Consider the following 12,991-nt stretch of genomic DNA (forward strand, 5'->3'; position numbering starts at 1 on the left):
GTTGGAATCAGTATTCAAATAATGTGCATACATTATCACTGTTTGACAGATCTCTTAAGCCTTTTTTAATCTACAGCACAGGTTGGCAAACTACTGCCCATAGGCTGGCTGGCTGCCTGTTTTATAAATAAAAGTTTTGTTAGAACACAGCTGCCTATAGATTGCTTTAGGCAGGAAGGACCTTGAAGGCAGGGCCTACTCTTCTTTCTTCCTGGGTCTCCCACACTCAGCCCAGAGGCCCTCAACGCCTGCTTGGAGATTGGAAACATGAAGGTTTGGCTTAAGTGGGAGTTCTTAATATGCAGCAGCCTCCTCTTTCCTGCCTAATCAAAGAAAATAGTTTAAATTGATTTCAGTTCGCACAGCCAATTTTTTATCTTAAAAAGTGTTTAACGACATGACTCTGAATCTGAGGGCTTCTGGTTGTTTTTTTGCTCCTTCCCTCTTCAGCTTACGCCCACATTACTGAGTGCCCACTCAGGACAGCTCATCCACAGGGCTGGGGCTCTCAGCCATGTGAAAGGGAATGGCATGGAATTCCTGGACCTCAGGGAGCCCTGGAGTGGTGGGCACATAAGTGAAGCAAAGTGAAAGGACACAAAGTGGTGGGGGGCACGGGGGAATGGGGAGGCTTTATCCATGCACAGACACCAAGAAAGACGCTGGGATGAATACGGCTGGCTTTCCAGAGAGGAAGTGTCTTTCTTTCTCTCTTTCTCTCTCTCTCTTCCTTTCCTTTCCCTTTCTTTCCTTCTTTCTTTTTCTTTCTTTTTTGTTTTTTTTTTTTGAGACAGAGTCTCACTCTGTTGCCCAGGCTGGAGTACAATGGTGTGATCTTGGCTCACTGCAACCTCTGCCTCCTGGGTTCAAGCAATTCTCCTGCCTCAGCCTCTTGAGTAGCTGGGATTACAGGTATGCACCACCACGCCTGGCTAATTTTTGTATTTTTAGTAGAGACAGGGTTTCACCATGTTGGTCAGGCTGGCCTCGAACTCCTGACCTCGTGATCTGCCCGCCTTGGCCTCCCGAAGTGCTGGGATTACAGGCGTGAGCCACCAAGCCTGGCCAAAGTGTTTAATTTTAAGCAGCCACAATGGCACAGACTTCTGAGTAAAACCAACAAAATAGGCCAGTGATGGTACCTGGGGGTTACAAGCTTCCCCAATAGGAAGGAAATAAGATCTACTTAATTGATCAGCGTGACACAAGGAAACTCACTGCAAATGGTCTTAATGGGTCTGTTTAAGAGTATTTAAATACACTCATCTCTCTAAAGGAAGAATGTGTCTTCCTGAATGAGGCCAGGCGAGAGGGAGTATCTTAGAATTCTGATCTGGAGATGTTTATTTTTATTTTTTTTGACATTTTTTCCCCAAATACGTCTGGTCTAACGGCAGAGCTCTCTCTAGTGGGAACGGGACACTTGGAAGGGCAGCCAACGGTTTCCTTTCAGTATTTCTAGACCCACTGATGGTCCCAGCCCCGGCCAAGGGCCATCACACCTTGTGGTCGAGTGTTAACTCCTGCTTAGGATTCATGGTCCCTAGACCACCTTTTTGTTCCCATTCAAGGGTGTGGGATTTGCCCATGGCAGTCCTCTAATCGCACACACTTGAAAACGCCAGAGCCGTGAATTCTGCTAAATCAGTGGCATGTGCTCAAGACTGGGCAAATCCAGCTTGATAAGCATGTGATGAATTATAAAATAAGGCACAACCAAACACAAGCTGCAGCAGAAGTCCACAAAGTTCCACAGGAGGGCAAGGAATTATCAGTGAATCCTTACCTCGTCATAGAAACTTCTTCCTCCAGACATCCACGTGGCTTGCTTTCTCACTTCCTCAAATCTTTGCTCAGATCCTATTTTTTTTAAGTGAAGCCTTCCTTGACAACCCTAATTTAAAACTGTACACACTCATACCTGCTTCCTTCTCCCCGACTTAGTTATCTCCACAGCACTAATGGCTAACACACTATATAACTTATTTCCATCTGTCTCCATGTGGGCAATTTCTGTCTGGCTGCTCATCACTGCACCTCAGCAGCTATTAATAGATCACTCTACTGAGGGACTCATACGTGCTGGGTGTTGGGCAAACAGTGAACAAAACCTTGTATGGTCCTTGCTGTCGGGGAGTTCATGATCCATCGTGGAGGGAGAGCTGAATTTCAACAGGGAGGCAGTGTGTGCAGGGGGAGGAGCAGCAGGAGCAATGGGCGGAGGCAGAAGCACAGAGGTGGGTGTCAAGTCAGGGAAAGGGATGGTGAAGAGATGCCTCAGGTAATGAGGGGAGGGACGGAATAGGACTAGATGCTGAAGGGCTGGAGTACCAGGTGGAGAAGTTTATTTTGCAGGTAATGGGGACGGAGTATGAAAAATTGGAGGAAATGGAGTTACCTGACTTGAATTTGTTTGGGAGAACCACTTCAGGGACATGCAAGGGACTGATATGAAGATGAGATGGAGCAGAGACCCCTCTTAGGGGCCTGCCGGGCACCTGCCCCCAAGCATGGAAATAAAAGGAAATCTTGAGTTCCTTCAAAGGCATTTCCAGGTACCTAGCCAGCACTGGGAAGTAAATGAGCAACTGAAGCAAGAAGGGAAGAATAACTTAAAACAATAGCCAGGGAAGTTTAAGTCACAGAATAGATCAAAGTTCCCACAGAGACTAAAGATAACATTTTAACACAAGTCCTTGAGCTGATTTCCAGAAACCAGGACACCAACAAATGAAAAGTGCTATCTGCTGGCATGCAGACCTCAGACAGGGGAAACTGAGGACTGAGCTTGGACCACCACTCTTTGTTCTAAATTTCTTCCTGAGGGGCCTGGAGGAAGTCATGCCCAGAGACCAGAGCTAACGTTCTTTTCTCCTGATCACAAATTTGCAGACAAAGCTTCGTCTCCTTAACCCATTGTAAATCAGAAAATCTTCAAATCTACCTATGACCTATGCCCTCCACCCCACATCTGGTTCAAGATGTCCTGTCTTTTTAGGTCAAACCAATGTACAGCCTCCGTGTATTGATTTATATCTTTGCCTGTAACTTCTGCCCCCTGCCTTTATTTTATTATTATTATGTTTTCAAGATGGAGTCTCGCTCTGTCTCCAGGCTGGAGTGTAATGGTGCGATCTCAGCTCACTACAACCTCCGCCTCCTGGGTTTAAGCGATTCTCCTGCCTCAGCCTTCTGAGTAGCTGGGATTACAGGTGTATGCCACCACACCCAGCTAATTTTTGTATTTGTAGGAGAGACAGGGTTTCACCATGTTAGCCAGGCTGGTCTCGAACTCCTGACCTCAGGTGATCCACCAGCCTAGGCCTCCCAAAGTGCTAGGATTACAGGCATGAGCCACCACGCCCAGCCTCTTCCTGCCTGTAAAAACGCTTACCTATATGGCACTGGGGGATTCAGGGCTTAAACATGAGCTGCCCAATTCTCCTGGCTTCCTGCCCTGAAATAAATGTCTCACTTTCTCTTACTGCAGTCTTGACGCCAGTTTTTGGCTTTGCTGTGCCAGAGAGCCAGACCCAACTTTGATCTGGTAACACAGGAAGCAGGTGAACAGGCAAGGCCACCCTCTTCTGTTTGGAGGCAGGTCAGTGTTCACTTGCCTCAGTTTACCAAGGTTGTGATCAGCCTCTGCTCCTCCTTTCTCTTATTGGCCTCCCTCTGCTGTACTGTGATTCCCATCATTGCAGTGTTTTTTTAACTTTTTTTTTGAAATAAATAAAAATACAAGAAGTTACAAATGAGGACCATGTACCTTCCGCTCAGCTTTTGCCACCATGAGGATTTATTTCCCTTTAGACATCTCCCCTCTAAATTCCTACATTACTGACATCCTCCCAATACACATCTTTCTGAGGACTTACAACAAAAATATTTCATTCTTTGAAACACTGGGTTTAGAGAAATCTTCACCCAAATAACTTTGACACCTTAAATAATCCATCATACACAATGGAACCACAGTCCTCTTACCTGTGAAAGCCAAAGGCAGGACCCAGCAGTGGGTGAGGTGAGTGAGCACTCACCACTGCCACCCTCTGTCCCACTGGGTGCAGCCGGGACCCCTGGACAGCGTGCAGGCAGCAGCGACCGGGCTCAGGAAGGTGGATCACAGTTGGAGGTGCTGATGCAGAAAGGAGACCACAGTTGGAAGTGCCACAGAGTTGGAGGTGAGCGAGACACTTCCCTTCCTCCAGTCTCCCCAGTGTGGAGTCAATGCAGCTCCTAACCCAGAGTGGGCACTAATTCCAGGAAAAGCCCAGCCAACTCGGGTACAGAAGCAGGAAAGGGGTCTCTACCGTTCTAAGAAAGTCTGGAAATCTCTAATTTATCCTTTTTTTTTTTCTTTTTCTTCTAAAATTTTTTCTTCTCTGTGCCCCAGACCTCAAGAAATTTTGTGGCCCTAGTGAGAAATGGCAGATAATTAAAGTCATCAGGCCAGGCAAACTTCCTTTCCAACCAGAGAGTCTGAGGTCCCCAGAGGGTGGGGAAACCTTCATGCTTTTTCTCTCTGGCTTCTCGCTGCTTAGCTCTGACGTGGTTCAGTCAAGTGCACCAGAGAGTAGGGTAAATCAAGCCTCAACCACCCAAGCTGGCTGGAGGGCTGAAAAGGTAGAGCCCAGGGACCCAGACACTACTGGGCAGGTTACAATGAGGAAGGGCTTCGGGAGAGCAACCCCTGAAAGTTGCTCATGAACTCTTGGGCTTACCCTTGAGCTCTACATGTATGGATCCGACCCTACACGGACCACACAGACTTTGAGTGCTGAAATGTGGGATAGATTACCACCAGAGTCCCAGGCTGGCCACTAGGTGGCGCTTGTGCCAGACAGATCCACATCTCACAGACTCACAGCAACCACAATCCACACAAGTCTTGCAGGAACTTGGAATTTGTGGTCTGAACCCATTTGGGGTGATTATCTTCTAAAATAAAGTTAATAATGTTCACTGTAAGATTTTAACAATAACCAGAATCTCAAAACATAGTATTTAAAATGTCTAGGATACAATTCAGCATACTGAAACCATACTCAGCATACAAAAAGCCAACAGCTACTCTGAGATGAAACAGATACTGGAATTATTTGACAAAGATTTTCAAGCAGTTGTTAAAAATATTGTACAAGTAAAGGAGGGTACTCTTAAAACATATAGAAAATTTTGCAAAGAAATGGAAGATATGAAGAAGAACTAAGTGGAAATATTAGAAATGAAAAAAATCAACTACAAAAATAGAAAACACACTGGCTGGGCTCACTACTGGGATGAAGATGATGGAGGAAGTAGTCAGTCAGTTCATAAATAAATTAATAGAAATGACTGAATCTGAATAACAGACAAAGCTTGAAAACCTTGAACAGAACCATAGAGACCTTAGGTAATAACAAAAGGGCCGAGCTTCCTATCATCTGAGTCCCAGAAGGAAAGAAAAAAAGGGCAGAACATAGAAACATGGAAAGAAATAGCTGAAAGTCTGGTTTACCACTAGAAGGCAATCAGTTTAATCTAGTATAGCAACAGTTTAAAGCAAAAAACCCACTTGATCTTCATTTTAAAAATTCAGTATCTATTTATTATAAAACGCTCAGCAAACTTGGAATAGAAAGAAATTTTCTTCACCTGATAAAGACCATCTACTAAAACCTATAGCCAACATTCTACTTAATGGTGAAATACTGCTTGTTCTCAGAGATTAAGAACAACACAAGGATCTTCTTTTTTAACACCACTATTTAACCTTTTGAATAGTCTTCGTCAGTGAAATAAGACAAGAAAACCAGAAAGGCCTAGAGACTGGAAAGGAAGAAATAAAACTGTCCTTACTCACAGATAACATGATCACCTATGTAGAAAATCCCAAGGAACACACACACACACACACACACACACACACACACACACACACACACAGCCCTCCTAGAACAAACTGAGTTTAGCTTTAGCAAGATTGCAGGATGCAAGATCAACACACAAAAATCAGTTATATTTCTGTATATTGCCAATGAACAAGTAGAAACTGAAATAAAAAATACCATGTACAATAGTTTACAACCCCGCCCCCCAATACACATAGAACAAAACATGTATAGGATCTACATGCCAAAAACCATAAAATGTTGACGAAAGAACTTAATGGAGGCCCAAGCAAATGGAAATTATGGCACTCCTTCATGGACTGAAAGACATAACATAGGATTGAGTTGTAGATTTACTAAAATTGTAGACAAAATCTCAGCAAAACAGTTTAGAGTAGATAGAGGTAAGCAGATCCTAAAGTTCACATAGAAAGGCAAAAAAAAAAAAAAAAAGAATAGCTGAAACACTCCTGAAAAAGAAGAATAAATTTAGAAAAATCACACTATCTGATTTTAAGACTCATTACAAAGCTACAGAAATCAATATGGCACAATGTTGATAAAAGAACAGACATAATGATCAATGGAACAGAACCACTGTCCAGAAATATATTCCTTACAAATACCCTCAGTTGGCTTTTCGTCAAATTGCAAAGGCAATTCAATTTCAATGAAAGAAGGAGGATATTTTCTATAAATGATGTTGAAACAATTGGATATCCGTATGCATAAAACTGAATCTGGACCTAAATCTCACATATTATACAAAAATCATCTCAAATGGATCATAGATCTAAATGTAAAACATGAAAGTATAAAACTTTTAAAAGACCAACTACAAGAAAATCTTCATGACCTGGAGTTATGCAAAATTTCTCAGATATGTCACTCAAAGCATGATCCTCAGAAAAAAGTCAGTTGGAACGCATCAGAATTTAAAACTGTGCCCTGTAAAAGGCCCTGTTAAGAGACTGAAAAGTCAAGCACAGATTGGGAGAAGATATTCACAAATCACAAATCTGAACAAAAGATTTATATTCAGAATATGTAAAGAACTCTTAAAACTCAATCAAACAACTCAATTTAGACATAGGCAAAAAGCCTGAACAGACATTTCACGAAAGAGAATAAAAAGATGGAAAATAAACAGCATGAAAATTTTCAACGTCATTAATTATTAGGAAAATGAAAATTAAAACCATGAAGAAATACCATCACACAGCTATCAAATGGTTAAAATGAAAAAACAAAAAAGGAAGAAATACCAAGTGTTGACAAGGATGTGGGGCAGCTGGAGCTCTCAGGCACTGCTGGTAGGAATGCAAAGTGGTACAGAACTCTGGAAAACAGGTTGGCAGTTTCTTACAAGGTTAACATGTATTTAGCCTAGAAAAATTAAAACTAGGCCAGGCACAGTGGCTCACACCTATAATCCCAGCCCTTTGGGAGGCTGAGGCGGGCAGATCACGAGGTCAGGAGCTCAAGACCAGCCTGGCCAATATGTTGAAATCCCGTCTCTACTAAAAATACAAAAATTAGCTGGGCATGGTGATGCGCGGCTGTAATCACAGCTACTCAGGAGGCTGAGGCAGGAAAATTGCTTGAACTGGGACCCAGGAGGCGGAGGTTGCAATGAGCCGAGATAGCGCCACTGCACTCCAGCCTGGGCTAGAGTGAGACTCTGTGTCACCAAAAAAAAAAAAGAAAAAACAAAGAAAAATTAAAACTATATTCACAAAATCCTGTTCTTAAATGTTTCTAGAAGCTCTAGTTGTAACTGCCAAAAATGGAAAACAACTGAAATGCCCCTGGACAGATGAGTGGAGAAATTCTGGAGTACCTGCAGAATGGAATACTACTCAGCAACAAAAAGGAACCGGCTACTGACACATGACTTGATGAGTCTCAAAATGATCTCCCTGCATGAAAAGGAGCCAGTTTCAGAAGATTAGGCTCTGTAGGACATTTATCTGACATTCTTGCAAAGAGACAAAACTAGTGATAGAAAACAGAGCACTGACTGCCAGTGGTTGGGGTAGGGGAGGGTCTGATTATAAAAGACATCAGGACAGAGAATCTGGAGGGGATGAAGTGCTTCTGTGTCCTGAATGTGGTAGTAATAACACAAATCCATACATGTGTTAAAGTTCATAGAACTAGACACAAAAAACTCAATTTTTCTGTATCTTAATGTGAAAAATATAAGTAAAAAAAATAAAGAAAAGAGATGACAACTCTTGCTTCCTATAAGGCTGTCTAGACATTAATACTGATGTTAGTACTAATTACAATAATGGCCACCACAAGCATGGTCTTCTATACTTTTTTGAGCATCTGCTACATGCTGCTTCTTTACCACACATTTTATATCACAACTTCTAATATTCACAGTCACCTTGTAAGGTGGGTTAAGCTCAACATAGAAGAAATCTCAGGGTAAGGGAAGTAAAATAATTTGTCCTATATCTCATAGTTGATAAGTGGCTGAATCTGAACTCAAACTCGGATTTCACTGCCGACCTTATTCCAAGCCTGCTTCTCCACTCTGCTGCCCACTTAATGAAAATAATGGAAACTGACAGGGAGACATTATATAATATAAATAGCAGGAAGGGAGAATCATATTTTGATTTCCATAGATTGCAAAAACTCTCAGCATATTTTATTCTAAACTTGGAGTTGGTTTGAAATTCTAATAGGTTGGGGAAAATTTAAAAACTATGCTTTTGCCATTGCCATTTTTTGATAATCCTCCAGTAGGTGGTTCTTAATTTTCAATATGATTGAATAGTTCTCTCCACTTCTGCAAATGTACAATAATTCTTATTTTCCCTAAGTGACTTAAAGAATCATTGTGACTTACAATTCTTGACCAAGTATTTACTAACTCCACAAATTGCAGTTTATACATTTGAAGTAAAGAGTAAACATTACAAAGTTCTCTCCTCTCACACAGCTGACTGTCCTGAGAAGTTGTAACTGGTCCCTCCCACCTTTACATACCACTGCCGCCATCAGAAAAAAAAAAGAAAGGTAAATCCATTTTAGAGACATAGAAACTACACTTTCATTTTAGTTCACTATGGTTATGGCTGAATACATATCTGAAAACATCATACATACGGAGGATGCAATTTCTCATGCAGCAAATGGTATCTACGTGAAAAGCTGGAGGATGAAGGCTGTCTTCTTGCTTGTGAATTACTCCCAGTGGCTTTCCTGGATAGTAGGTGCTTTTTCCACCAAAAACCCTGGCCTAGAGTATTTTCGTCTCCGCTAACACAGAGATATGAAACTAAGGCCTACCACAAAAGTATTTTCTTGAATGTTTTATAATTTCTGCTCCATTGAACATATTTTCTTAAATATAATAATTAGTGATAAAATTTTGACTTAATATCGGTAAGATGTAACACAAAGCAAAGCCCACTTAGTGCTCAAGTACCACTGTCATCAGGTATTGGAAATCTTCTTATTTGGAAGGTGGTTATGCCCAGAATGGTGGTGTGGGGAACAAGGAGGTGGGCTTACCTTCCAGCAGGTCTCTGGCCAGACCAGGTTCTGCCCCCGTGGACCGAACAAAGTCTGACAGGACTGCGTCCATATCAAGAGTCATAGGATCATGTAGAAGTGCTGCCCAACACTCAGCCGAGGTGGGGTTTGGAAGCACACTAGAAACCATCCATCTGCAGGAAAGAAGAGAAAGGGCATTTTACCACGTGATGGAAATGGAGCTGCAAGTGACAACTACATGCAGAGACCTGAGCGAGAGAACCCTCGAGGGTGGAGCCATTTCCACCTGCTGTCATATTTTTTAGAATTGGTTTGGTCCAACTGCCTGATTCTTCATGCAAGACATTATATTATAGAATGCTAACTAAAATTTCATCCCTGTGTACATGCCATGTGAGAGAAGGGGTATTATGAGCCAAATGTTTGTGTTCCCTCCCAAAATTCATATGTTGATATCTAATCTCCAAGGTGATGGAGAAAGACAGTGCCATCTATGAAGCAGGAAATGGGCCCTTACTAGACACCAAATCTGCTGGTTCCCTGATCTTAGACTTCCCAGCCTTTAGTACTGTGTGGAATACATTTCTGTTGTTCATAAGCCTCCCAAGCTATTGTATTTTGACATAGCAGCCCAGATAGACTAAGGCAAGGGGTCATCACTATCTCCAGCACTCCTGAACTTACATTTTATTAATTCCAATAACTGATGAGGAAAAAAGACTATTTTAAAATTTCAAACACCTAAGTATACCTAGAAAAATTCAGTTGGAGTTGCTAGATTTCTAATCCTCTTCCGAATTGTATAGACTTGTAATACTTCCACAATGTGATGAATGTTACCCACTCTATTCCAATTATGCCTTTATCAGTGTGCCATCCTACCCCCTCAGCTCTCACCCCTTACTTGGCTATTAGGAAAGACTAATAGCCAAGGTTAATCCACAGTTGACGGAAATACCACACTTGCTGAAGATGGCTACTGAACTATCTACCATCCCTCTAAGAGCTGCCATCAATCCAACAACATTCTTAAGAATGTCAGATTTCCCAGGCAGCATGATCCCAGCCAGAGAAATAGAATGGATGTACAGCAGCTTGACCCAGGCTGACTGTAGCAGCTGACTGCTGGGGAAAAGCAACTGTGACATTACAAGTGAGAGTAACTTACACTAGTGAATGGTGCTGGGGCCCCAGTGGGTGCTCAATCTTTGCCGGTGGAGTGCAAATGCATCCTTGTGTTTGTGTAGATAAGAGGTCTGCAAGTTATAGACCATGGGCCACATGTGGTCTGCCACCCATTTTTGTAAATGAAGTTTTATGGGAACACAGCCATACCCACTCATTTGCATAGCGTCTGTGGCTGCTTTTGCACCTGGCTGAGTTGAGTAGTTAAAACAGAGACCCTTAAGGTCCACAAAATTGAAAAGATGTACTTCCTGGAACTTTATGGAAAAAGCTTGCAGACCCCATTACAGGCAATGGAAAATTTTATGCTAGGAAGTATGTAATTAATTTTACATATTGTGGGGTGAGTTTGAATCCCATGCTATTGATGACTGTCCTCTGTTCTTTCTTTCACAGTAACCCACTGGGATGGGTGCTGCTTGGTGGAGTAGGTCCTGTGTCAGTGGCCCATGCTTTAGAGCCAGGCACATAGCCTGATTTGACCCTGGCCCTGCCCCTGTCCAGCTGTGACATGGGCTTCACCTCTCTGAGCCCTCCTGATTTTCTGTAGGAATGCAGGAAATGAGCTCACCTAACGTGCAAGACCCTGAGGACTGAGGGTCTCAGGCAGGGAGGTCTGTACCCTCAGAGACATTCACTGTGACCACCCCGTCTTGCACACAGCTCCTATTGGGTACAATTTTTAGTTGATGCGGCCAGAAAAGAAGAAAATTATTTGACCTGATGTATATGGTACCAATTAGGAAATTGATTTCTTCCTTCTCTCCATGCACTGGGGCCTCGGCCGGGAGAGTCTCTTCTTTCGTCACTGCCACCTGGGGGACAGATCAGAGAACAAGAGCATGTGATCTCCTTACTCTCAGACTGAGGCCGAAGGCTTGGCTTTTTGTCACAGGAGGCTGGATCTTGGCCTTGGCCAATTGCCTGAGGCATGTACTCTGTCTTCCTGGGCCCTACAGGTCCCCGCTTACCAGCTGACCAGCAACTCCCATGCCCGGGCCTGGCCAGGGGCTGTCTCAGCTTTCCTCGTTTTAGCAAGCACATCTATTTCAGTGAGGATTACTTGCACAGCACAGAGCTGTTTTTTCCTTTTCCTTTTTCTTTTTTTTTTTGAGACAGAGTCTTGCTCTGTCGCCCAGGCTGGAGTGCAGTGGCGCGATCTCGGCTCACTGGAAGCTCCGCCTCCCGGGTTCATGCCATCCTCCTTGCCTCAGCCTCCTGAGTAGCTGGGAGTACAGGCGCCCACCACCATGCCCAGCTAATTTTTTTTTTGTATTTTTAGTAGAGACAGGGTTTCACCATGTTAGCTAGGATGGTCTCGATCTCCTGACCTTGTGATCCGCTCACCTCAGCCTCCCAGAGTGCTGGGATTGCAGGCGTGAGCCACCACACCCAGCTTTCCAGATGTATTTCTTAAACCTCACACTGCCACCATCACCACACCCTCACATTCATGTCCCATGATGATATGGGAGGGACTGGGCTGGTGGGGACATTTGACCCCAGCTACCTGGGCCATCCTCACCCACTGCTCCGTGCCATCCTCCCAAGCATGCACTGTGCCTCTCAACCTGCCTTGTGTGGTCTAAAGCACTCACTCAGCCGCTTTGAACAGCATGAGGCTCTGGGTGGCCGTGCCCTGGCCCTGCATTCCTGTTCTCCTCAGTGCATCCTAGCCCTTGGACAGAATGTCTCTGAAGGTCTCATCAGCCACCCCAGGGAGAGTAATGTGTCCCATCAATGCATGGTGACTGCCTTAGGAGGGGCAGTGCCGTGTGGGGACAGAGCGTTGGCCCTGGAATCAGTCTCTGGGGCCAAAATGGTTCCACCACTTTGTGTGACCTTGGGCATGTTATATCGCCTCTCTGTGCCTCAGTTTCCTCATCAATACAATTATAATAATAATTGTATCTCACAGTTATTATGAAATTTTAAGGAACTCATGCACAAAATGTACTGGCCCATAGTACATGCTCAATATACATTAATTATGAGCCAATGAATGAACTCTCAACAGGGACCCTGAGACCACCCTTGCCTTCCCAGGTCTCCACTGAGCAAGAAAACTGCTTCCACCAGCTTGCTGAAGGCAGGAATAAGGGGCCTACCTCTAGTGCCTTGGCTTGGAATCACAGAGGGTTAAACTGGTGGGGGCTCCTGCCTTCAATTCCGTCTTCTTTCCCGTATCCGAGGTTGCAGTGTTCATTGATCACTTAAGCAACCTTCATGGAGCTGCTACTCTGTTCAGGCCATGACTGCAGGGACTCTGTGGGAACTATGAGCCCCCTGAGCCTTCCCAGGATCTCCCCAGTAAGCAGAAAGGGACAGACACACACATACAGGTCTCAGAGACCAACTGCTGGATTTGGAAGACACTTAGTGGAGGAAGTGGTCCAACCAGAGAGAGTAAAATTGCAAGA

At 43.7% G+C, this 12,991-nt stretch overlaps 1 protein-coding gene across 3 annotated transcripts in view; it reads right to left on the bottom strand.

Moving 5' to 3' along the window:
• The window catches only part of OTUD7A (OTU deubiquitinase 7A), a 395,276-nt gene that overhangs the window by 170,294 nt on the left and 211,991 nt on the right, over positions 1–12,991 (bottom strand). For all 3 annotated transcript variants that reach the window (NM_001382637.1, NM_130901.3, NM_001329907.2), the window contains 2 exons: positions 11,292–11,386; positions 9,405–9,559 (listed from right to left, as the gene is read on the bottom strand). In NM_001382637.1, the coding sequence (NP_001369566.1) occupies positions 9,405–9,555 (151 nt within the window). In that variant the 5' untranslated portion in view covers positions 9,556–9,559; positions 11,292–11,386. The remainder of the gene's footprint in view (positions 1–9,404; positions 9,560–11,291; positions 11,387–12,991) is intronic.

The sequence above is a fragment of the Homo sapiens genome, chromosome 15 (genome assembly GCF_000001405.40).
Source record: "Homo sapiens chromosome 15, GRCh38.p14 Primary Assembly".
NCBI lineage: Eukaryota > Metazoa > Chordata > Mammalia > Primates > Hominidae > Homo > Homo sapiens.